Below are 26,669 nucleotides of genomic sequence, written 5' to 3' on the forward strand. Positions count from 1 at the left end.
GTTATAGAGGAAGCTGAGCTGTGAGTATGGTGTAGGAGTGGCTGTGAAAACCCTAAGGCAGAGGTTTTCAAAGTGGTGTCCCCAGACTAACAACATCGGCATCTCCTGGGAACTCGCTAAAATGCAGGATCTGGGACCCCACCCCAGACCTACTGAATCACAAACTCAGCGTGGGACCCAATGGCTCTGTTGCCTTTTAACAAGCCCTCCAGGTGAGTCTGATGTGCTAGGAAGTTTGAGAGCTTTGAGCCAGCGAGAGAATGAGCTGGGCCTAGTGTGTTCATAGAGACTTCCTGACAGGGTGGCCGGTCCCATCCTCAAGTGTGTCCCATGATCTTGGGCTCCCTCCCTCAGGCACTTTGTGCCAAGGTACTGGCTTTCTTCTCCTCTTCGTCTTCCTTCTCCTCCTCCTCCCACTCCTCCTCCTCCTCCTCCTCCTTCTTCTTCTCTTTCTCCTCCTCTTCCTCTTCCTTCTCCTTCTCCTCCTTCTCCTCCTCCTCCTCCCACTCCTCCTCCTTCTCTTCCTTCTTTTTCTCCTCTTTCTCCTACTCCTCCTTCTTCTTCTCTGGTGAGAGTTAGGAAATTTAAGTGTCAAACCTTTTCTCTTAGGACATCATCTGTTTTCATACTCAGTGAACTAAAATAAGATTATCCCAAAATTTGCCTATTCAAGAGGAGCTTTGGAAGGAGGTAGCACTCAGTAACTCTGATTGTACCTAGGAAAGCGCTGGGAGTCTTCCCTTCAATTAAACTGTAGTTCTTTTTGGAATGTCATGTTTGTTATAAGCCATTAGCCAAATGGTGTTACTGCATTAGCTCTCACATTGGTGTTATGGACATTGGGGCTGAAAAGGTGACTGTTAGCTATTGCCATGTAGCTGTCACCTCATAATGGTGGCAGTTTTATAAATATTAGGTTACTACCTCACCTCCTGTCATCCGTTTGTCAAATACTTGAGTCATTCAAACTTAACGCCCACACGTTCAAAGTTGTACTCCAGGAAGAGCATACTCACCATCAGTCCCAAGCCTCGATCTGCAGCAGTGGGGTGTGGCCGTGAGCCCTGTGCTTCCGAGGGCTGTGCTGAGTCCTCTTTTAGCCTCAAGGCATCTCTTCTAGCCCCTGGGCCCTGGAATCTCCTGCCCAAATACCCAGAATGCACATCCAGGCCTAAGCAGGCCTCCTCCTTAGGTCTATCTTCCTGGGGACAGGCCACATCTCCAGTGTGTGCACCCCTAGACTCAAGGGGTGGCCAAGGGGCAGCTGCTTGTTGGGAAGGGGGACCTAGCTTGGATGTATGGGCTGGAATGTCCACATTCATGTGTGAAAGGACAGAGCTGAGGGTGGGGAGAAAATGGGACAGGCCTCTGGTTAAGGGCCAGTTCTCCCTGCCCCACCGTGAGAAACTCTGAGGAGTTCAATAATTCTAAATTCCAGCCTGGCTCCCTAAAGCATTATGAAGAACAGAGTACATTTGATTTAACAGTTTAATAGCTTGATTTATAATTCTAAATATTTAGACAAATGGTATGTGGGCCTCCGTTAGCATTCTTGCCCCCAGGCCCCACAAATGTCAAGGGTGGGCTAGCCACCCACAGTGACTCATGTGTTCCCCCATTATATGAAACTTGAAGCTTCAGTTCCCATTACTGAGTTCTATGAGTGCCATCTTCGGAGAATGGTTAACATCAAAGGGCATGACAGGTGTACAGCAAAGCAGACTTGGAGATGCCCCGAGGGCATGAGGAGGCATCCAGCTCTTCTGGCCACAGCAAACACCTGCTGTAGGTAAGAAAGGAGAGATGACCAGGGACAGGACAGGGAGAGAGACTTTAAAAATGTACCAGAAAAAAACTTCAAGGAATATAACAAGGAGTTGGGCTGCTGCGACATAAAATCAGCCCGCACCTCTGTCTGTAGTGTTTCAGGACTGACTATGATAACATAATAGTTAAATAGTTCAGGCTCTAAAAACATGCCTGGGGCTTAAATCCTGGCTCTGATGGTCATTAGTTGTGTGGCTTGGGCCTTTTTTAAGCCTCCTCTGTGCCTTAGTTTCCTGTGTGTAATATGGGAATGGTAATAGTGCCTACTTTACAGGGTGGTTGTGAGGATTAAATAAAATGAAACACACAGAGTATAGAGTGTCTAGCACATTTCAAGTACTCAATAAATGAGAGTTGTGATTACTATTAGTCCTTGTGGAAAATGTTTGCCTATATGGATAATAAGCACAGTTTAAAGTGAAAAGCAAACTCTTCAATGAATGGGTTAGCTCTGAGCCGCAGGATAAATACAACTTGAACTTGAGAAAGTCTCACAGCCAAAGAAGCAATGGCTTCCTTTTCCAATGTGAAGGACTGCTTTCGAATCATCTGGAAAATGCAAATGAGAATTTTAATAACTTTTCATCTTATTCCATACTTATTACACATAAGGAGTGTGATGTCAGTCAGTATAATACTAGCTTTAGCCTCACAGAGCCCAGGTTTAAATCCTAACTTTGCTGTTTGCTGTATGACCCTAAACAAATTACTTAACTTCTTTATGCCCTTGGTTTTCTTATCTGTAAAATACAGATAATATTACTATGACAGTACTAATACTAATACCCAGTACATAGGCTTGTTGTGAGGATTACATTCGGTGGTGTGCTGGAACTAGCTCATACCATGGGAGACTCAATGGTTAAATTTTCAGGATTTTATAAGCCAATTTTTAAACACTGGGTATCTTGAAATTAGCTGTGATGAGAGTATTTACACTACAGAAATCAGCAAAAAGTACATATCGTGCCCTTTCCCCCAGAAATCCATTTACCAGCACTGCACTGATGACATTGGATAAACATTTAAAAGGCTTAGCAATGTACACAGTACAAAATAGGCTTTTTTTTTTTTTTTTTTTTTTTTTTTTGAGATAGAGTCTCATTCTGTGGCCCAGGCTGGAGTGCAGTGGCACGATCTCGGCTCACTGCAACCTCTGCCTCCCGGGTTCAAGCGGTTCTCCTGGAGCTGTTGGAACTACAGGCGCTTGCCACCACGCCCGGCTAATTTCTGTATTTTTAGTAGAGACAGGGTTTCACCATTTTGGCCAGGCTGGTCTTGAACTCCTGACCTCAAGTGATCCACCTGCCTTGGCCTCCTAAAATGCTGGGATTACAGGTGTAAGCCACTGTGCCTGGCCTAAAACTGTTGCTTTATTGTGCTCTTAATACATGTTTACATCTATTTGAGGCACTGTATAACGCCACTACTGAAAGAGGATGGTTGTGCCTATGGTGCTCCAAGAGAAAAACGACTTAGACTGTGTCTAGAGGACAGGACAAGTAATGTGTTGTCATCATAGCCATAGAGACTGGAGCAGTGGTCACTGCAACCTTCTCCATCTCTGTTAGACTCTTTTATTCATCTTTATTTCCCCTAGATTCAGCACAGTACCTGGCAGAAAGGATGTTTGTTGGATACATGATTGAATAAATCAGTTTGATCATGCAGTAATAAAATAATGTATATGACTGGTCAGATGTCACACCAAAAACCTGATTTTTAAAACATTTCACTGACTGGTTGATTGAGTCAGGCTACTGTGGGTAAACTTAGCCAAAATACTCATTTCTATATTTTCTTCTCTTTATAAACATGTACCTTTAACAATGAAGCAAATAACACCTTTTAAAATACTAAATAAGATAGCATAATTGCACAGTGTGCACTGCCCCAACTGGATTATTATAATTTACTGAAGGGTTTGCTGTGGATAGATAATAATATGCAAAATAGATTAAGACACAACAGAAAAAATGACTTCTTATATATGTCTGTTGAAGAGTGATTCTCATACAAAAGGAGTTTAAATTAGATGACAACTTAATTAACATATTTGCTATTTTTGTTTTGTTTCAATTTTTTGGCATTGTTTCATCTGAGAGAAGGATGCTAGAAATGAAAAAGGAAATGGTGCTCTGTGGTGGAATATTTATATTACTCTTTGCAAACAAAAATCCCCTTTTTTTCTTTCTAATTTGACAGCCTCATAGAGGCACCAAGTAATCTGTTTGGAACTGTTTGGATGATACTCAAGAAAAGGAGAATGTTGAATTATGGGAATCTTTAGATAAACACATCGAAGGCAAAAAAAAAGCGGTCAACTTGATGCAGTTGCTTCAGGTAGAGTTTAGACTGGAGGGATGAATTTTGTTAGCCTGCCTGTGATTTTTAGTAGTTACAATATAGCTCATTTCAGTGCTCCTCAGACTAGCATGCATAAGAATTCCCTGAAGAGCTCATTAAAATGTTGATTCTTAGGCTCTGTCCCCAGAGATTTTTGCTTCAAGTCAGAGAGACCCAAACCTTGCATTTCCTTTTTTTTTTTTTTTTTTTGAGATAGAGTTTTGCTCATGTTACCCAGGCTGGAGTGCAATGGCACGATCTCAGCTCACTATAACCTCTGCCTCCGAGGTTCAAGCAATTCTTCTGCCTCAGCCTCCCAAGTAGCTGGGATTATAGGCATGTGCCACCATGTCTGGCTGATTTTGTATTTTTAGTAGAGACGGGGTTTCACCATGTTGCTCAGGCTGGTCTGAAACTCCTGACCTCAGGTGATCCACCCGCCTTGACCTCCCAAAGTGTTGGGATTACAGGAGTGAACCACCATGCCCAGCCTAACGTGTTCCCAGGTGATGATCATGCTGCTGGTACATGGATCACACTTTGAGTAGCAAAATTTAGAGGCCAATAAGGAGCATACTGCCATAGCCCATGAAGGAGGATGGTGATTTCCAAACATGGACGAGCTTCAGAATCAGCACCTAATGAGTTTTTTGTGTGTTTATTTACAGAATCTAGATATAAGCCCACATCAGACTTGCTAAATCAGAGTCTCGGGAGGGGGCGCAGGGAATATGATGGATCGGATACACTGTGAAGTTGAGGGACCCTTGTGGTGATCACTCTTGGTAAGCCAGCTTCTTGGTCAGGACAGATGGGACTTTGAGGCTACCACACTGAGGAGCATATGCTGAAAAGAGAGAAGCTGTAAAATGCAAGTAAGAAACTGCTCAAAAAATAATGGAGGCATGTCAAAAGGACACAGGAGGCAACTTATGGCCAAAGTAGTGCTAATTCAAGGACTAAAATAAACAATGATAGCATTTCATTATAGCCCTCAGAAAAAAGTTAAGTATCCATGAGTCCAAACTTACATAAATAAATAATTGAATGAATGAGTAAAAAATAAAGGAAGGAAAAGAGACAATTCATCCTTAAGGAATTCCAATTAATAAATGTAAAAGGAATGCAGAAAATGGAAACTCACTATGAAGCAAGCTCTACCGTAATAATTGTTGCAGGCAAGATCCATTGATGGATGCTAAAATTAGTAGGTAAAAATTTGATGAGAAACAGAATAGTTGCAGAGTTTCAAAGTCTTTACCACAAGATATTTGTTAGTTTCTAAGGGAAGGTACTGTAACTTCACAACAAAGAAACGCAGCAGACACTACCTTTACCAAGAATCAAGCTGAATATCACCAATAATAAGACATAAGGAAGGTCACACCACTTTGTAATATTCGTGCCAGAAATGTTTTATTTTGATCTAATCATGAGAAAATGCCAGGCAAACCTAAATTGAGGTACTGAACAGTAACCTTCAGAAGTTTCAAAGTCATGAATGACAAAGAAAAATTTAGAAACTGTCATGGATTGAAGAAGACTAAGAAGAAATGAAAACTGCATGCAACGTGGGAAGCTGACTTGGATTCTGGACCAGAAAAAGGATATTAGTAGGAAACCCGATAAAATTTAAATAAGGTCCACAGTTTAGTTAACAGTATTGTAACAGTGTTAATTTCCAGGTTTTACTAATTGTCCTATGGTTAGATGGTAAGATGTTCACCTTAAGGGAAGGTCAGTGAAAGATATATATTAGTAACTCTTAGTTTTGCATCTTTTCTGTAAGTTTATCTCAAAACAGAAAAATGTTAAATGTTGAATAGAGGAGGGAGGTTCCAAGATGGCCGAATAGGAACAGCTCCAGTCTGCAGCTTCCAGCGTGAGCAATGCAGAAGACGAGTGATTTCTGCATTTCCAACTGAGGTACTGGGTTCATCTCACTGTGGCTTGTCAGACAGAGGGTGCAGCCCACAGAGTAGAGCGGGGCATCGCCTCACCTGGGAAGCACAAGGGGTCAGGGAATTCCCTTTCCTAGCAAAGGGAAGCCATGACAGATGGTACCTGGAAAATCAGGACACTCCCATCCTAATACTGAGCTTTTCCAATGGCCTTAGCAAATGGTGCACCAGGAGATTATATCCCGCGCCTGGCTCGGAGGGTCCCATGCCCATGGAGCCTCTCTCACTGCTAGCACAGCAGTCTGAGATTGAACTACAAGGCCACAGCGAGGCTGGGGGAGGGGCGTCTTCCATTGCTGAGGCTTGAGTAGGTAAACAAAGCTGCCAGGAAGCTCGAACTGGGTGAAGCCCACCGCAGCTTAAGGAGGCCTGCCTGCCTCTGTAGACTCCACCTCTGGGGGCAGGGCATAGCTGAACAAAAGGCAGCAGAAACTTCTACAGACTTAAACATCCCTGTCTGACAGCTTTGAAGAGAGTAGTGGTTCTCCCAGCACGGAGTTTGAGATCTGAGAATGGACAGACTGCCTCCTCAAGTGGGTCCCTGACCCCCAAGTAGCCTAACTGGGAGACACCTCCCAGTAGGGGCTGACTGCCACCTCATACAGCTGGATGCCCCTCTGAGACGAAGCTTCCAGAGGAAGGATCAGGCAGCAACATCTGCCGTTCTGCAATATTTGCTGTTCTGCAGCTTCTGCTGGTGATACCCAGGCAAACAGCACCTGGAGTGGACCTCCAGCAAACTCCAACAGACCTGCAGCTGAGGGTGCTGACTGTTAGAAGGAAAACTAACAGAAAGGACATCCACACCAAAACCCCATCTGTACATCACCATCATCAAAGACCAAAGGTAGATAAAACCAAAAAGATGGGGAGAAACCAGAGCAGAAAAGCTGAAAATTCTAAAAATCAGAGTGCCTCTTCTCCTCCAAAAGAACATAGCTTCTCACCAGCAGTGGAACAAAGCTGGGTGGAGAATGACTTTGACGAGTTGAGAGAAGAAGGCTTCAGATGATCGGTAATAACAAACTTCTCCGAGCTAAAGGAGGATGTTCGAACCCATCACAAAGAAGCTAAAAACCTTGAAAAAAAACTTAGATGAATGGCTAACTAGAATAAAGAGCGTAGAGAAGTCCTTAAATGACCTGATGGAGCTGGAAACCATGGCATGAGAACTACGTGACGCATGCACAAGCTTCAGTAGCCGATTTGATCAAGTGGAAGAAAGGGTATCAGTGATTGAAGATCAAATGAATGAAATGAAGCGAGAACAGAAGTTTAGAGAACACAGAGTAAAAAGAAATGAACAAAGCCTCCAAGAAATATGGGACTATGTGAAAAGACCAAATTTACGTCCGATTGGTGTACCTGAAAGTGATGGGGAGAATGGAACCAAGTTGGAAAACACTCTTCAGGATATTATCCAGGAGAACTTCCACAACCTAGTGAGGCAGGCCAACATTCAAATTTAGGACATACAGAGAACGCCGCAAAGATACTCCTTGAGAAGAGCAACTCCAAGACACATCATTGTCAGATTCACCAAAGTTGAAATGAAGAAAAAAATGTTAAGGGAAGCCAGAGAGAAAGGTCAGGTTACCCACAAAGGGAAGCCCATCAGACTAACAGCGGATCTCTCTGCAGAAACTCTACAAGCCAGAAGAGAGTGGGGGCCAATATTCAACATTCTTAAAGAAAAGAATTTTCAACCCAGAATTTCATATCCAGCCAAATTAAGCTTCATAAGGAGAAATAAAATCCTTTACAGACAAACAAATGCTGAGAGATTTTGTCACCACCAGGCCTGCCTTGCAAGAGCTCCTGAAGGAAGCACTAAATATGGAAAGGAGCAACCGGTACCAGCCACTGCAAAAACATGCCAACTTGTAAAGACCATCAATGCTAGCAAGAAACTGCATCAACTAACGAGCAAAATAACCAGCTAACATCATAATGACAGGATCAAATTCACACATAATGATATTAACCTTAAATGTAAATGGGCTAAATGCTCCAATTAAAAGACACAGACTGGCAAATTGGATAGTCAAAATCCATTAGTGTGCTATATTCAGGAGACCCATCTCACGTGCAGAGACACACATAGGCTCAAAATAAAGGGATGGAGGAAGATCTACCAAGCAAATGGAAAACAAAAAAAAAGCAGGGGTTGCAATCCTAGTCTCTGATAAAACAGACTTTAAACCAACAAAGATCAAAAGGGACAAAGAAGGCTATTACATGATGATAAAGGGATCAATTCAACAAGAAGAGCTAACTATCCTAAATAAATATGCACCCAATACAGGAGCACCCAGATTCATAAAGCAAGTCCTTAGAGACCTACAAAGAGACTTAGACTCCCACACAATAATAATGGGAGACTTTAACACCCCACTGTCAACATTAGACAGATCAATGAGACAGAAAGTTACAAGGATATCCAGGAATTGAATTCAGCTCTGCACCAAGTGGACCTAATAAACATCTACAGAACTCTCCACCCCAAATCAACAGAATATTCATTCTTCTCAGCACCACAGTATTCCAAAACTGACCACATAGTTGGAAGTAAAGCACTCCTCAGCAGATGTAAAAGAACAGAAATTATAACAAACTGTCTCTCAGACCACAGTGCAATCAAACTAGAACTCAGGATTAAGAAACTCACTCAAAACCGCTCAACTACATGGAAACTGAACAACCTGCTCCTGAATGACTACTGGGTACATAACGAAATGAAGGCATAAATAAAGATGTTCTTTGAAACCAATGAGAACAAAGACACAACATATCAGAATCTCTGGGACACATTTAAAGCAGTTTGTAGAGGAAAATTTATAGCACTAAATGCCCACAAGGGAAAGCAGGAAAGATCTAAAATTGACACCCTAACATCAAAATTAAAAGAACTAGAGAAGCAAGAGCAAACACATTCAAAAGCTAGCAGAAGGCAAGAAATAACTAAGATCAGAGCAGAACTGGAGATAGAGACCCAAAAAACCCTTCAAAAAATCAATGAATCCAGGAGCTGGTTTTTTGAAAAGATCAACAAAATTGATTGCTAGCAAGACTAATAAAGAAGAAAAGAGAGAAGAATCAAATAGACGCAATAAAAAATGATAAAGGGGATATCACCGCTGATCCCACAGAAATACAAACTACCATCAGAGAATACTATAAACACCTCTACGCAAATAAACTAGTAAATCTAGAAGCAATGGATAAATTCCTGGACACATACATCCTCCCAAGACTAAACCAGGAAGAAGTTGAATCTCTGAATAGACCAATAACAGGTTCTGAAATTGAGGCAATAATTAATAGCCTACCAACCAAAAAAAGTCCAAGACCAGACGGATTCACAGCCGAATTCTACCAGTGGTATGAGGAAGAGCTGGTACCATTCCTTCTGAAACTATTCCAATCAATAGAAAAAGAGGGAATCCTCCCTAATTCATTTTATGAGGCCAGAAACATCCTGATACCAAAGCCTGGCAGAGACACAACAAAAAAAGAGAATTTTAGACCAATATCCCTGATGAACATCGATGCAAAAATCCTCAGTAAAATACTGGCAAACTGAATCCAGCAGCATATCAAAAAGCTTATCCACCACGACCAAGTTGGCTTCATCCCTGGGATGCAAGGCTGGTTCAGCATACACAAATCAATGAAAGTAATCCATCATATAAACAGAACCAAAGACAAAAACCACATGATTATCTCAATAGATGCAGAAAAGGCCTTTGAGAAAATTCAACAGCCCTTCATGCTAAAAATTCTCAATAAACTAGGAATTGATAGGATGTATCTCAAAATAATAAGAGCTATTTATGACAAACCCACAGCCAATATCATACTGAATGGGCAAAAACTGGAAGCATTCCCTTTGAAAACTGGCACAAGACAGGGATGCCCTCTCTCACCACTCCTGTTCAACATAGTGTTGGAAGTTCTGGCCAGGGCAATCAGGCAGGACAAGGAAATAAAGGGTATTCAATTAGAAAAAGAGGAAGTCAAATTGTCCCTGTTTGCAGATGACATGATTGTACATTTAGAAAACCTCATCGTCTCAACCCAAAATCTCCTTAAGCTGATAAGCAACTTCAGCAAAGTCTCAGGATACAAAATCAATGTGCAAAAATCACAATCATTCCTATACACCAATAACAGACAAACAGAGAGCCAAATCATGAGTGAACTCCTATTCACAATTTGCTTCAAAGAGAATAAAATACCTAGGAATCCCACTTACAAGGGATGTGAAGGACCTCTTCAAGGAGAACTACAAACCACTGCTCAATGAAATAAAAGAGCACACAAACAAATGGAAGGACATTCCATGCTCATGGATAGGAAGAATCAAGATCGTGAAAATGGCCATACTGCCCAAGGTAATTTATAGATTCAATGGCATCCCCATCAAGCTACCAGTGACTTTCTTCACAGAATTGGAAAAAACTACTTTAAAGTTCATATGGAACCAAAAAAGAGCCCACATTGCCAAGACAATCCTAAGCCAAAAGAACAAAACTGGAGGCATCACGCTACCTGACTTCAAACTATACTACAAGGCTATGGTAACCAAAACAGCATGGTACTGGTACCAAAACAGAGATATAGACCAATGGAACAGAACAGAGCCCTCGGAAATAATACCACACATCTACAACCATCTGATCTTTCACAAACCTGACAAAAACAAGGAATAGGGAAAGGATTCCCTATTTAATAAATGGTGCTGTGAAAACTGGCTAGCCATATGTAGAAAGCTGAAACTGGATCCCTTCCTTACATCTAATACAAAAATTAATTCACCAGGCGCAGTGGCTCATGCCTGTAATCCCAGCACTTTGGGAGGCTAAGGTGCGTGGATCACCTGAGGTAAGGAGTTTGAGACCAGCCTGGCCAACATGGTGAAACTCCATCTCTACTAAAAATACAAATGTCAGCCGGGCATGGTCGTGGGCACCTGTAATCCTGGCTACTTGGGCAGCTAAGTAACAAAAATTGCTTGAACCTGGGAAGCGGAGGTTGCAGTAAGCCAAGATCGTGCCACTGCACTCCTGCCTAGGCGACAAGAGCGAGACTCCATCTCAAAAAAAAAAAAAATTAATTCAAGATGGATTAAAGACTTAAATGTTAGACCTAAAACCATAAAAACCCTAGAAGAAAACTTAGGCAATACCATTCAGGACATAGGCATGGGCAAGGACTTCCTGACTAAAACACCAAAAGCAATGGCAATAAAAGCCAAAATTGAGAAATGGGATCTAATTAAACTAAAGAGCTTCTGCACAGCGAAAGAAACTACCATCAGAGTGAACAGGCAACCTACAGAACGGGAGAAAATTTTTACAATCTACCCATCTGACAAAGGGTAATATCCAGAATCACAAAGAACTTAAACAAATTTACAAGAAAAAAACAAACAACCCCATCAAAAAGTGGGCAAAGGATATGAACAGACACCTCTCAAAAGAAAACATTTATGCAGCCAATAGACACATGAAAAAATGCTCATTGCTGGCCATCAGAGAATGCAAATCAAAACCATAATGAGATACCATCTCACACCAGTTAGAATGGCAATCATTAAAAAGTCAGGAAACAACAGGTGCTGGAGAGGGTGTGGAGAAATAGGAATGCTTTTACACTGTTGGTGGGACTGTAAACTAGTTCAACCATTGTGGAAAACAGTGTGGCGATTCCTCAAGGATCTAGAACTAGAAATACCATTTGACCCAGCCATCCCTTTACTGGGCATATACCCAAAGGATTATAAATCTTGCTGCTATAAAGACACATGCACACGTATGTTTATTGCAGCACTATTCACAATAGCAAAGACTTGGAACCAACCCAAATGTCCATCAGTGATAGACTGGATTAAGAAAATGTGGCATGTAGAATACTATGCAGCATTAAAAAAGGATGAGTTCATGTCCTTTGTAGGGACATGGATGAAGCTAGAAACCATCATTCTGAGCAAACTATCGCAAGGACAGAAAACCAAACACTGCATGTTCTCACTCATAGGTGGGAATTGAACAATGAGAACACTTGGACACAGGGTGGGGAACATCACACACCGGGGCCTGTCGTGGGGTGGGGGGCTGGGGGAGGAATAGCATTAGGAGGTATACCTAATGTAAATGACAAGTTAACGAGTGCAGCACACCAACATGGCACATGTATACATATGTAACAAATGTGCGTGTTGTGCACATGTACCCTAGAACTTAAAGTATAATAATAAAAAAAATTTTTTTTAATGTCAGTGCACTCTGCCTCGTGGAAAACCCAGTTGCCTAAGCAAGTCTACGGCCTCCCTACCTGGCTAGGGATAAGCTGTAAGGACGGTTTCACCCGAGAGGTTACCTAATAGCGGGCAGAGAAGACAATACAAGCACGAAAGCCTGTGAGCTGCAGGGGATTGGGATTTTGTCAGTTATACTCAGTACTGCCTTGTCATCCCCTTTCCCCAAGCCACTACCCCATAGATGGACAAAAACAAGCATGGTAGTCTTCAAAGACTCCACAGTCAGAATATCCTGGATTTTGGATGATAAGGGGAACTTCTGTAGCTCCTGACCCACCTTTTGGAGCTCCCCCGCTATCCAGCCTGCAGCCCTGCCCACGTGGTGGCTGGAGTCAGCAGGCTTCTGCAGCCTGGCAAAGCCCTTCTCCCATTTTGTGGTCTGGATGAGGCCCATGGGCTCTGCTTTAAGGTGATCATCTGTCCCGAGGACCAGCTTTAAAACTATTTCTTTAGAGAGCATTTTATTGAATACAAACTCCTTAGGCAGCATTGTTCACATTTCCCAGTGTTGAACAAATCGTGGTTTTTATCACACATTCATCATTCCAGGTCTTGCTGATTCACTTCCAGTGACCCCTTTTAGGAACCTTTTGCTAATCCCACTAATAGAAAGAGCTCATTCCACTCCTTTGGTTATTTCACATTCACATGGCCAGGCTTACATTTTATTTAACTTTCTTTTCACGTAAGAAGGTGAAAAAGTGCTAAGCCATATCTTCTAAGCTCTTGGATCATTTCTTGGTCATTCTGGAAGCAGCATGGTGGTGAAATGGGAGAGTTCCCTGAACCCCTTTGCCTGATGTTTGACAGGGGTGTGGCTTGTCTGTTTGGTCACCATCCCTTCAACCCCTTACGGGATGGGGAGCAGGCAGCTGGACAAGTGCAGGAGCCCAAGTGGGCGTGTGTTACAGTGTGCCCTTTTAGCCTTGCTGTCCACGGATGGCTTGAGTGTTGGCCAGCTCAGTGGACCCTCTGCCTTTCTGTAAGGGCAGAGTGCCAGTGTGACAGCTCTCTGTATCCCAAACTCTTGTCCAGCATCCTGGGAGAAGCGGGTCACACATGTACTTGAATGTAAAGAAGTGACTTTGGCTTGTTTTTGACTCAAATCTAGCATGAAGCTTGGTTTCTTCGAAGACACAAACACTTTAAACATGAGAGATATTCAATAAAGATGAGTCATCTTTCCCTGGATCTTTATAGTTTGTCCTCCATAAACATCACCTTATTTGTATATGAAGCTTTATTATCTGCACTAAATTCACTACAGATTGTTTCCATTTTTCTCTCTTTAAGACCTGAGATTATCCTCAAGTACAATTAGGTAGCTTTATTTTAGAACAGTGGTTTCAGAATCTCTAAGTATTTTTTACACTAAAACGATTTACTGAGCCTCCATATGATAGTGGCGGAATCCCACATTATGAAAATACAGAGCAATAAGCTACTATACATTCAACATTGTTTTTAGCTGTAAACCCTTGTTATCTTATAGGAGCCTGATTGATGTGGTAGTGAGGTGTGGGGTGGGGGACACATTCTACAGTCCTATGATTAAGTCTCAGCTTGTGGTGAGCCCGTGTCCCTGGGCTGTGACCTTTACAAGTGCTTCTCAGGTCTCCCCCATGCTCCTCCCTTAGAGGAGCCTAGAGGATTGGAGTTGAGTATTTTTCTTCCCCAGGTTGATTAGGCTCTGGCAAAACCCAATTAGGTTAGGCCCTGGTAAAATAGTTTCCCTGGAAGGCAAGCTTTTGTTAAAGAAAACAAAGCCTCTAGTATATTGCAAAATAGTTCCCCCATGCGGCTGTATGTGATGGCTCATGCCTGTAATCCCAGCACTTTGGGAGGCTGAGGCAGGAGGATCACTTCTTGAGGCCAGGAGTTCAAGAACAGCCTTATTGGGCAACATGGCAAAATCCTGTCTTTACCAAAAATACAAAAATAGTCTCATAACCTGGCCTCAAAATAATAAATAAATAAAAATTAAAAGATAAAATTTAAAAAAAGTAATTCCCCCACCCACACATGAGGGGAAGTTTTTCTCTGACTTTCACCTGAGAGTTTGATGAGACTCTTGGAGGTAAGACTCAAGACAAGTGTGGGGGCTCTCCTAAGACTGGGTTCACCCAGAGTTTTTAACTCCCAAGCTCATTCACGTTGAGGCTCCAGCAATTTGTCAATTACAGTTTGTGTTCCTACTGGTATTGCCTCCAGTGCTGGCCTTTTATTACTGGGCTTCTGTTCTTGGTAAGTTGTGATTCTCTACATCCTCCTGTCTTGCAAATTTTCTGGGAGGTGGTTTGCCCTGTGACCTCAATTCTCTGATGGATCTAAGAAGAATTGTTTTGTTTTGTTATTTTTATTATTTATTATTATTGTTAAATGGAGATGGGGTCTCACTATGTTGCCTAGGCTGATCTTAAACTCCTGGGCTCAAGTGACCTCCACACCTTAGCCTCCCAAAGTGCTGGAATTACAGGCATGAGCCACCGTGCCTGGTCAGAAGAATTGTTGATTTTTGGTTTGTTCAGCTTATTTCTTGTTGTGAGGATGAGAATGATGACTTCCAAGTTCTTTTCATATTGAACCAGAAACCAGAAGTGTTTCGATACTGCTTTTAAATGATGCTTATATTTTTTAACTTGTGGTTTTTATTATGTGCAGGTTGTATTATTTAATATTAATTTACAGATAAAATCTGATACACTTATGGACTCATAGATTTCTTCCAATTACTGAAGGAGTTAAAAGCATGATACCCCAAAATATCTTGCTCTGGCATATTGACTATTTTAAGTTAAAGGCACTTGAACAATAGCAGGTGCAAGAAGATCACTCTGACCTTTCTTCAGTTTCTTAAAAGCAGGAGATGAAATTCCCATGTGAAAGATGCTCTCCCTATGCCAGAAGGAAAGCATTATTCTTACCTTCAAGGATAAGAAGTTGAGGCTGAAGGAAATCTGTACAGTCTTAGCGCATTCTGAGTTGCTATAAAGGAATGCCTGAAGCTGGGTAATTTATAAGGAAAGAGGTTTATTTGGCTCTTGATTCTGCAGACTGTGCAAGAAACATGATGCCGGCATCTTCTTCTGGTGAGACCCTCAGGCTGCTTCCACTCCTGGTGGAAGGTGAAGGGGAACTGGCATGTGCAGAGATCACATGGGGAGAGAGGAAGCAAGAGAGAAGGGGAAAGTGCCTGGCTCCTTCTAATGATCAGCTCTTGTGGATACTAATCGAGTGAGAACTAACTCACACCACCCCACCACCTCCCAGGGAGGGCATTAATCTATTTATAAGAGACCCATCCCTGTGATGAAAACACCTCCCATTAGGCTCCACCTCCAACACTGGGGACCAAATTTCAACATGAGATTTGGTGAAAACAAACCATGTTTTGGGAAGTCAGGGACCCCGAATGGAGGGACTGGCTGGAGCCACAGCAGAGGAACATAAATTGTGAAGATTTCATGGATATTTATCACTTCCCTGATAATACTCTTATAATAAATTTCTTACGCCTGTCTTACTTTAATCTCTTAATCCTGTTATCTTCGTAAGCTGAGGATGTATATCACCTCAGGATCACTGTGATGATTGTGTTAACTGTACAAATTGATTGTAAAACATGTGTGTTTGAACAATATGAAATCAGTGCACCTTGAAAAAGAACAGAATAACAGCAATTTTTAGGGAACAAGGGAGGACAACCATAAGGTCTCACTGCCTGCAGGGTTGGGCAAAAAGAGCCATATTTTTCTTCTTGCAGAGAGCCTATAAACGGACATGCAAGTAGGAGAGATATCACTAAATTCTTTTCCTAGCAAGGAATATTAAGACCCTAGGAAAAGAATTGCATTCCTGGGGGGAGGTCTATAAATGGCCGCTCTGAGAGTATCTGTCTTATGCAGTCAAGATAAGGACTGAAATATGCCCTGGTCTCCTGCAGTACCCTCAGGCTTATTAGGGTGGGGAAAAAACTGCTCCCTGGTAAATTTGAGGTCAGATTGGTTCTCTGCTCTCAAACCCTGTTTTCTGTTGTTTAAGATGTTTATCAAGACAATATGTGCACAGCTGAACATAGACCCTTATCAGGAGTTTTTGATTTTGCCCTTTGCCTTGTGATCTTTGCTTTGCCCTTTGCCTTGTGATCTTTATTGGCCTCAGAAGCATGTGATCTTTGTTCTCCTTTTTGCCCTATGATGCATGTGATCTCTGTGACCTACTCCCTGTTTGTACACCTCCTCCCCTTTTGAAGTCCTTAATAAAAACCTGCAGGTTTTGTGGCTCAGGTGGGCATCACAGTCCTACCACTATGTGACGTCACCCCTTAGCAGCCCAGCTGTAAAATTCCACTCTTTGTACTCTTTCTCTTTCTCAGACCGCCAACACTTAGACAAAATATCATGTTGAAATACGGGGGGCGGTTTCCCCCGATAAAACCACATCCAAACTATAGCACAAATCTAATTTCACTAACCCTTATCTTCCTGGCTGTTTCACCCAAGTAACTACCCTAGCCCAAGGCCCTTTGCTTTCTCACATATTCATAATTTACTACTCTTTGTTCCATTCAGTATATAAGTGTTCAACCCTAACTGCATCTTTGGGTCTTCATTTTCTTATGAGGGCTCCTGTGCCACATAAAACATGGATTAAATAAATTTGTATGCTTTTCTTCTGTTGATCTGTCTTATGTCAATTTAATTCTCAGCACCCCACAACCGAAAAAATCTCTAAGAGGGTAGAGGTAAAATTTTGCCTCCCCTACATTAACCCACATGCTAGGGGAACCAATGTTTTAAAGTACACTAAAAACTCATAATTTTGAATCAATCGTGAGGAAAGCATCCATTCAGTAAATTCTGAAAAGAGATGACCTCAACATGAATACAATTCTATTAGTTTCAAACAGGGCAATGTAGGGTACTTTAACAGGCTCTCCTGGCTCCAAACGTCTCCTACCCCAAGCCCTGCATGACTGTCTAAAATATATCTGTAATCAATCCCTTTGGAATAAGTTATTGAAGGCTTTTTGTTAAGGAGCAGCACCTTTTCTGGGAAGGGAACACTTTCAAACCACACACGCTTTAGCTGGATTTGACCAGCTGAATCATTAGATTTGGTGAATCTAATGATCTAAGTTGCCATCTAGCAGGAATGTGAGGGAATGAGATGCAGAGGATGTTCTGATGCTGCATGGGGGTTCTGCTAATTGAGGAGTCTGGTAACCAGCTTAGGCAACCAGAGAAAATAGAGAAAGGTGCAGGGTGAGAGCAAGAGAGGGACTGACCCCAGGCCCAGGGTTCCATGGATCAGAGATTCCAGGATTGTTTACTAATGTCTGAACAGATTAAAGGGGATGGTTTGTAATTAACATGTCAGTGTATCGATCTATGTAAAATTGCTTTCTCTCTCTCTCTCTCTTTTTTTTTTTTTTTTTTTTTTTTTTGGAGATGGAGCCTTGCTTTATCACCCAGGCTAGAGGGCAGTGGCATGATCTCGGCTCACTGCAACCTCTGCCTCCTGGGTTCAAGCAATTCTCCTGCCTCAGCCTCCCTAGTAGCTGGGACTGCAGGTGCACTCCACCACACCCTGCTAATTTTTTTGTATTTTAGCAGAGACAGGTTCCACCATGTTGCCCAGGCTGGTCTCGCACTCCTGAGCTCAGGCAATCCACCTGCCTCAGCCTCCCAAAGTGCTAAGATTACAGGTGTGAGCCACAGTGCCTGGCCAAATTGCTTTCCCTTATTTTGCTTGCCTCTGAATGATAATTGTGACCTCCTTAATCATATTGTTCTTTTAATGGGCTAACATCTCCCTTGAAATTTTATTTATGCTGCTTATATGTGACAGCCTCAAGGACACTTCTGCTTGGTGGGGGCAGCCCTGGTCGAAGCAGGTCCTCAACTTCAAATCTGTGGACACTTTGGGTTTCCTGTGGATTCCTGCTCGAGCCTCTCTTTGTCCAGGCACTTTCTTCAGTTCTCTTTTGTTCCATTCCCTGCAGGTGCAGGGTCTCTGCCCTGTTGCTCTAAATAAGCCCAAGCCAGAGTTCCAGCTCTGGACTTACCTGTCTGGCAAGGGAAGAAGGACAAGAATAAATATTCTTTGCTTTCATGAGCTCTGTAGATGGTAGTGATATAAATAAGTTTGATAATGGTATACAAAAAAAGACAAAAATGAGATTCATACTGACGTTGGGGGGTTGGTATGGGTGTGATGATGATGTGACCCTACAAGATGAGGGACCTACAAGGTGAGGAAGTGAAATTGACATTTCATCAGGAATGTTCATTCTGATCAGCAGCTAGGGCTGAGGCTTATGGTTTTCAGTTGAATGTAGCTGTGCTTACAGTAGGCTCTACCCTCTCCCAGTAGACCTCCAGGCAGAGGGGTGCAGGAGTGAGAGCTGACTGTTACAGTTTAGGAATTTTGCAACCTGGTGGTCAAACACAGCCATTATTTAAGCTTAAATTATATGCCATTATTGTATAAATTATATAAAAATTATATATTGAAAACAAAGGTAATAAATACTCAAAAACCATCAATTCTTAATTGTCTTACTACACTTTGCTGCTGTTCTTGAGGTTATTTGGTGCCCGTCTGGGGGAAATACCACATAATCATGTACTGCTACATGTCCTGCCCAACTCCACATTCAGTGACGTCAGCCATGAAATCAGCTGCGGTTGGAGTTTTTACATCATAGAATTACAAATATTGAAAGCCAGGGCTTGATTTATTATTTTTTTGATTGTGTAGATTTAAGAAATGGTTGAACCATGGAATGCTATGTAGTCATAAAAAATGAAATTATGTCCTTTGCAGCAACATGGATGCAGCTGGAGTTCATTATCCTAGGCAAATCAATGCAAGAACAGAAAACCAATACAGCATGTAACTTGTAATTGGGAGCTAGACATGAGTTACACATGGACATAAAGATGGGAACAATAAACAATAGGGACTATGAGAAGGGAGAGAGAGGGAGAGGGGCAGGGGCTGATAAACTACCTATAGGGTACTATGCTCACCACCTGTGTGACGGGATCATTCGTATCTCAAACCTAAGCATCAGGCAACATGCCCATGTAACAAACCTGCGTTTGTACACTCTGAGTCTAAAATAAAAGTTGAAATTATTTTTTACAAAGGTGTGGAAGAAAAATGTTAATGCAGATTATACATGTGTCTGTAGTTGTTACAATGTGAATAGTACAAACACTAAGAGAATATTCTAGTTTTCAAAAACTATTATTTGATTCAGTACAAGGAAGTCATTCACATCATTGGTGAATGAGTGAAGTTCCAACATACATTTTCATTATCTTTCTTTTGCCTTACTCATTAAAGTAAATGAAAACATCAACCAAAACTCATGGTGGAACTACACTCAAAGATACAATTATAAGATATTTACCAGCAAACAGCTGTCAGGAGGCCACAATTCACTCTAAAAATTCAGTTCTGATTAGCCAGCACTGCCCTCTGTGGATGAGAAGAAGCTTTTGTTTATTGTACAAAATCTTAAAAATGTATCGATAAGCAAAAATAAAGTAAAAAGCTCCTGTAATTTCTCCACCAAGAGATAACATGACTCATATGCATATACGTATTTTTAAACAAATATTGAATTATAGCTATAAAGGGAAGACTTTTTAAAATCGTGTGTGTGTGTGTGTGTGTGTGTGTAAAAGAGCATTTGGAGAGCATCTTTCCATGTTATTCAGATTTTTAATTATTCCATAGAAGGCTGTCGTACTGATTATAACTTATTTCACCAGTCCTCAATGATTGAACATTTGGATCATTCCCAATTTGTGGCAATTAAAAATACAACCTTAGGAAAATAAATAAATAAAACAAACAAGTGACAAATAAAAAAGACAACCCTACAAAGCACTTCTTTGCAGCTAAATAATACATCCTTTTTTTTCCTTAGGAGAAATTTCTAGAAAAAAGGTGCATGCATGACTAGGCCTTTTCCCCCTCTTTTCTCCTTTTCTTTCTTCAGGGAATGCCATCCCAGTCCTATACTAAGTCTTTAAAAGACCTCCCCTGATAAACTGGAAGCTCCATGTGGGCAGGGACTGTGTCTGCAAGTTGATCCCTCTAGCTTCAACCTGTGGCCCAGTGCCTGATGTGGGGACATATTCAATGCATATTTGCTGAATGTAAGAAGGAAAGAGGAAGGGTTGGTGTATTAGTTTGCCAGGGTTAACAACACAGTATCACAGACCAGGTGGTTTCAACAGCAGAAATGTATTTCCTCACCATTCTAAAGGCTAGGAGTCTGAGGTCAAAGTATCAACAGGCTGGTTTCTTCCAGGTTTCTGGTTTCTTCTGTCCTGGACTTGTAGATGACCAGTTTCTCCCTCTGTCTTCACATGGTCGTTCCTCTGAGTCTATGTCCTTATCTATTCTTCTTAATCCAATCATATTGGATTAAGGCCCATCCTAATGGCCTCCTCATTTTAACTTAATTGCCCTTGAAGATTCCTTTTCCAAATACAGTCACATTTTGATAGGACTTGAACATATGAATTTTGCAGGGGACCTAATTTAGCCCACACAGTTGTGCAGATTGCCATGTGGGGTTGTGGTAAGTTAGAGCCAAAAAGGATGGATGTCTCTGGAGACCAAAGTAATGAATTTTCTTGAGACAGAGTCTCACTCTGTGACCTAGGGGCTAGAGTGCAGTGTCAAATCACAGCTCACTGCAGCCTCCACCTCCCAGGCTCAAGCGATCCTCCTGTGACAGCCAGGTGGGAGGGGGTCCTGGAGAAACTCCAACCAGCCTGCCCACTGAGGTGGAGCCTTGGAAGTTCACTGCATTTGCAGCAGGGAGGAGCCTGGCCCCTCCGCTTCTTGGGTGGAATCTGGGATTCAAATGCTGGGCAGGAAGCACTCTAGCTGGGACTCTGGCCTAGTGAGAGTCCCTGTTTCCCCCTTTTCTTCCTTTTAACCCAATAAAACCCTGTCTTACTCACCCTTCAAACTGTCTGTGAACCTAAATCTTCGTGGCCATAGGATAGACAAGGACCCCATCTTTAGCTGAACTAAGGAAAAGTTCTGCAACATTCCAACTTCAGCCTCCTAAATAGCTGGGACCACACACAGGGTTATGCCACCATATGTGGCTTTTTTTTTTTTTTAACCTCTCGTAGGAATGAGGTTAGTAAGCTTTTTAAAAGCATTGCCTTGCCAGGCGCGGTGGCTCACACCTGTAATCCCAGCACTTTGGGAGGCTGAGGAGGGCAGATAATCTGAGGTAGGGAGTTCGCGACCAGCCTGGCCAACATGGAGAAACCCTGTCTCTGCTAAAAACACAAAATTAGCCGGGCATGGTGGCACGCACCTGTAATCCCAGCTACTCGGGAGGCTGAGGTGGGAGAATTGCTTGAACCCAGGAGGCAGAGGTTGCAAAGAGCCGAGATCGTGCCATTGCACTCCAACCTGGACAACGAGAGCAAAACTCTGCCTCAAAAAAAAAAAAAAAAAAAAAAAGCATTGCCTTGCTTTATATGTTGGTTTTGAAATGTCTGATGCCAGTCTAATTCTTTTACCTTTGTAAGTTATTTGATCTTTTTTCCTGGAGGCTTGAGAGTTTCATTCATTCATTTTTTCTTTCTTTTTTGAAATCTAATAGTTTTACTAGGTTCTGCCTTGGAGTATGATCCTTCTGGGTAAATTTTTCCCATTACTCAGTGATCTCTAGGAATGTGTAGACATAGGTCTTTTCCCACTCTATAAAGTTATCTTGAATTATAGTTTTAGATATTGGCTCTGTCTCATTGTTCTGTTTTTTCTTCTTCAGGAACTCTGATAACACAGAAATTATTATTATTATTACTGGCCTGTCTTCCATGTCTGCTACTCTTCTTCTGGCCCTTTCTCCTTCTTCACTTATGCCTTTCTTATTCTCCTCATAGTTTGCCTGCTTTTCTTCAGTGCCTCTTACTAACTTTTAATTTGAGTCTATTCTGTTAACTTTTAATTTTAGCCTATTCTTGTTTTATCAGAGGAGAATTTTTCTCAGTTGATATAATCGAAATTCCATTTCCTGGCTTTTGTTATAGCTGCATATGGACTTCATTTTCCATTTGTTAATTTTTATGGTATGAAGATGTTTTCAAACTTTTTGGTTTAATGGCATCATCTTATGTTGGTATTGCAAAGTCCAGGTCTTTGGCAGGATATTTTGGTTTTATTTGATGGGATAGAGAGAGTTGTGAATCCTCTGCTTTTATGTTTCCCTTTTTTCTTGCAGGAACCTAAAATTTCCATCTTTTCTTTTTTAACTCTTCCCACCTAGTGCCAAAGAATGTTTTTTTTTTCTTTTCTTTTTTGTTTCTTTTGTTCTTTCTCAGAACTTTTGGGTTTCAATGATTGCCCCCTTTAAATTGCCCAGACTTCCAAGTTCCTTCCTGAAGTCCATGCTCTGATCTCAGACTAGGGTGGACCTAGACTTTCTAGTGTTAAATCAAACTCAGGATCCTTCACAAGCTTCCCTATTTTGCCTTCCCTGCAGCTCTCTAGGTTTGCTTTTGTTTGCCCTAAGGGCTAGGGTGTGGTGAGGGAATGAGAAATTATGTTCTGAGGACTTATTATTCTCTTTCTATTCATAATTATTTTGAAGTTTGGACATTCTGTCTTTAGGTTATGCTGAAGGTGTGGCTTGCATATAAATTCACTTTTTGTCCTTTGTTTGGATCCATGAAGAGGCAGGTGGCTATGCTGTTGCTGTTGCCTGAGCCTACCCTGAAGCCCCTTAACCTCACTTTTGTTAAAAATTGTAGCAGAAGTGCAATTTGCCTACCAGATTCCTTTTCTCTCTCATTCTTCCTTGATAACAAAACCCCAGTTTGCACAGGAAGAATCAGATATGCAGCGTTGGCATTTTAAAATCTAATTTCTAGGCTCCTGTGACCAAGTAGCACAGTTTGGTCAAACAGACATAAGCAGCAATCGATGGGGTGGGGTTTGTGGAAAAGTCTGAGTGTCTATGGAAATGGTCAGACTGAGCTAGCAAAGCCCTTTGCCCTATTCCTTCCCTCATTTTTCTTCCTGGATCACTCAGACATAACACCTGGAGAAGCAGCAGTTATTTTGTGGCCATAAGCATGAAAGCCAAAAGGTAAGGATGATGGAACAGAAAAATAGTAGGAGCCTGCATATTTGAGGAGCTGGGTCAGCTCTGGATTTCCTCTTCCCAGATTTCTGGTAATATAAGAAATATAAACTTCTTTATTAATTAAGGCCTGATGTTTTAGGTCTCTGTTGAGGGCTGTATATACGATCAATACTTTGATTTACTGAGGCATTTCCTCCTTTGCATTGACAAGATTATCATTTCCACAGCTCAACTTGACTAGGGTCCCACTAACCTACTACACATGCTATTCCTTATGTCTCAGTTGTACGTTAAAAGGCTCAAGATTTACATCAATAGAGGAGTACAGAGAAGACATTCCTGTAGGTATCTTTCTCCAGTAGTCTATACAGATGTTGGAAATAAATTTTCAGTGCCACAAATAAATAGCACTCAAACATAAATTTAATTTTCTCAGCAAGGCAATTTTACTTCTGTAGAAGGGTGTATCTTGTGGATGGAGCAATGGCGAGAGCACACCTGAACAAGGGAGGGGAAGGGGTTCTTATCCCTGACGCAGGTAGCCCCTACTGCTGTGTCGTTCCCCTATTGGCTAGGGTTGGACCACACAGTCTAAGCTAATTCTGATTGGCTATTTTAAAAAGAGCAGGGGTACGAGCTGGAGTGGCAGGGTGACTAGTTTGGTGGGAAGGATGGTTACAGAACAGGTGACTCAGGGTGACTAAGAACAGAGCAGGTGACCAAAGATGACTAAGGTCAGAGTAGGTGACCGGGGTGACTAAGGTCAGAGCAGGTGATAGAGGCTAGAAGGGGGTTATTTACTGAAACTAGGGGCAAGAGACGTAAAGAATGAGGAAGTTTAAAATGAAGAACAAAGAACAAGAGAGCTGAACATACTGATACATTAGTTCTTTGGAGAGGATCTCAGAACTCATTGTACTTAACAATTTACTGGCTAAAACCTTTGAAGAGGAATTTATTATATCCTACGCAGACACAGAAAGTTTTGTTGTGAAGAAAGAAATTTTAATTTTTTAATTTTTTATTTGTATAAATCTAAGGGGTGCAGTTTTGTTACGTGGATATATTATGTAGTAGTGAAGTCTGGGCTTTTCGTGTAACCATCATTCAAATAATGTACATTGTACTCATTAGGTAGTCTCTCATCTCTCACCCACTCTCACCCTTTCACCCTTTCAAGGGAACTAGAAAAAGGAAGACATTTTTAATACTCACATATTCCTAGAAAACAGAAGCAGGACCTCTAGGGAAGTAGGACTGGGGTGGTCAGAAAGCAGAGGGAATGAGAGGGAAATGTGGGAAAGGGCCTTTATTGTGGTTGTCTGCAGAAGGAACAGGCAAGACAGAGTGAGCAGGTTTAGAATGAACTATTTTGAATAATTTCAGCAAGGTCTGGGGCAATGGGGCTGTCCCTAGTTGCCTGGTACCTGGCCCAGGGGTGATTAGGAGAGGGATACAGTTTCACAGAGTATAAGAACCAAATAAAGAAGGTGATTGGTAATGTAGGCTCTGAATTAGTTGGTTTGCATATGAAAGGTGCAAACATTTGCTATCTCTGGAAATTAGCTAACCCTGGGAAGGACAAATCCTCCAGGTCAGCAACTCCCTGGATGTGAAAGCTTCAAATTCAGAAACTAGAAAAGCATGGTTTTCGCAAATATTACTGCAATGACCTCAGTTTCTTGTAAAGACCATCTGATAAAACATTCTTGTCAGATATAAGCTAATTCATAAGGTAATTCTGTATTCTGTAGTGCTCTCTACTAAGTACACATATTACAATTTACATCACCATCACATACTAACACAGCTTCTGGTTTTGGGCTCTCTGCCATGTGGGTCCTCAATAAATAAAGCTTAATGAATGCTATAGAGTCTTTCAATAAGAAACTAAATGCCACCAATGACAGCACAGTTAATCAGTGGCAAAACCGGGAATTGATCTTAGGCTTCTTGCTTCCAAATGCATTGTTATCCAGTAAGATTATGCTTTGCCAGAGCAAAAGTCTATGCAGCTGCTCTTGAGAAAGTCTCAATAATAAACGTTAGGTAATAATTGTCTCACTTCTGGTCTAAAATCAGGAGCCTATTTAAAGGATTGACTCTGGGAAATTTGAGAGAAGCTCCAGGAAGAGTTTTCTCCACTTCTGTTTTCTGGACTTGCAATGTCTCATTGAATTCCTTCCCAAATATGAATCATAGCAAGCCTCAGTGAATCTAGAAATCTGGTAGTCTTGGAGGCATCAGTAATAACTGCAAACCAGCAACAATTAGGAAAATCCCAACACCCTGAGCTGATGGTTTCTTTCTTTCTTTATTTTTTTTTTTTTTTGGCAATGAAACAAAGTTTAAGAGACCCAAAACAACCTTCAAGGTCATATCTTTATTCGTTCCCACTTATATCTCTACTTCCTAGAACAAAAAACCCCCAGTAATGATCTGTGAACCATAAATCTTGTGATTCAGTTCTATGATTATTATTTTTCTCGACCTAAACTGTATATACCCTTTATGATTTAATTTTGAACTCAAGTGGCCTACTCTTGCTGCTTAGCTATGGATAGGAGCTTGGGTATGTGTCTAAAATGTTACTTTAACAATTGTTTGACTCTCTCATCTACTCTCACCTCATAGGAAATTATGGCCTCTTTGGATGGGTGCTCTGTAGCTGCCACCAGTTGTCAACCAGCCATGATGATGACTGTTTTATTGATTGGCCACCAGTCAGGCTATTGTCATTTGTATTTCCAGCAGAAGGAAGAAATGTCATTTTATTTTATATATATTAAATATATATATATTTTCTATATATATGTACACACACATATATGTATGTGTATATATATACATTATATATATATACACACATATGTATGTATATACACACACACACATATATATGTATGTATGTACACACACACACACACACACACATATATATATATAGAGAGAGAGAGAGAGAGAGAGAGAGAGAGAGAAAGAGAGAGAGACGGAGTAAACTCATACAATATTTGTCTCCCTGTGCCTGGCTTACTTAACATAATGTCCCCTAGCTTCATCCATGCTGCTTCAAATGACA

The 26,669-nt window shown here is 41.4% G+C and overlaps 1 protein-coding gene across 6 annotated transcripts in view, besides 3 other annotated features; it reads left to right on the forward strand.

The window, feature by feature from the left end:
* Positions 1-26,669, forward strand: part of PDK1 (pyruvate dehydrogenase kinase 1) — a 168,940-nt gene that overhangs the window by 86,999 nt on the left and 55,272 nt on the right. The gene's annotated exons all lie outside the window — the stretch shown is intronic.
* Positions 13,228-13,397: an enhancer, noted in NCBI's record as "experimental_56221 CRE fragment used in MPRA reporter constructs". NCBI's record gives its function as "activates a minimal promoter by MPRAs in K562 erythroleukemia cells, with activity observed for both the introgressed and non-introgressed 2:173520412 variant alleles {active_cell/tissue: K562}" and the evidence as "EXISTENCE:reporter gene assay evidence [ECO:0000049][PMID:34662402]".
* Positions 26,138-26,307: an enhancer, noted in NCBI's record as "experimental_56231 CRE fragment used in MPRA reporter constructs". NCBI's record gives its function as "activates a minimal promoter by MPRAs in K562 erythroleukemia cells, with activity observed for both the introgressed and non-introgressed 2:173533322 or rs16860789 variant alleles {active_cell/tissue: K562}" and the evidence as "EXISTENCE:reporter gene assay evidence [ECO:0000049][PMID:34662402]".
* Position 26,223: a transcriptional cis regulatory region, noted in NCBI's record as "Neanderthal adaptively introgressed variant 2:173533322 (GRCh37/hg19 assembly coordinates) or rs16860789 in the experimental_56231 CRE". NCBI's record gives its function as "modulates activity of the experimental_56231 enhancer by MPRAs in K562 erythroleukemia cells {active_cell/tissue: K562}" and the evidence as "EXISTENCE:reporter gene assay evidence [ECO:0000049][PMID:34662402]".

Source organism: Homo sapiens, chromosome 2, assembly GCF_000001405.40.
Source record: "Homo sapiens chromosome 2, GRCh38.p14 Primary Assembly".
Classification (NCBI taxonomy): Eukaryota; Metazoa; Chordata; class Mammalia; order Primates; family Hominidae; genus Homo; species Homo sapiens.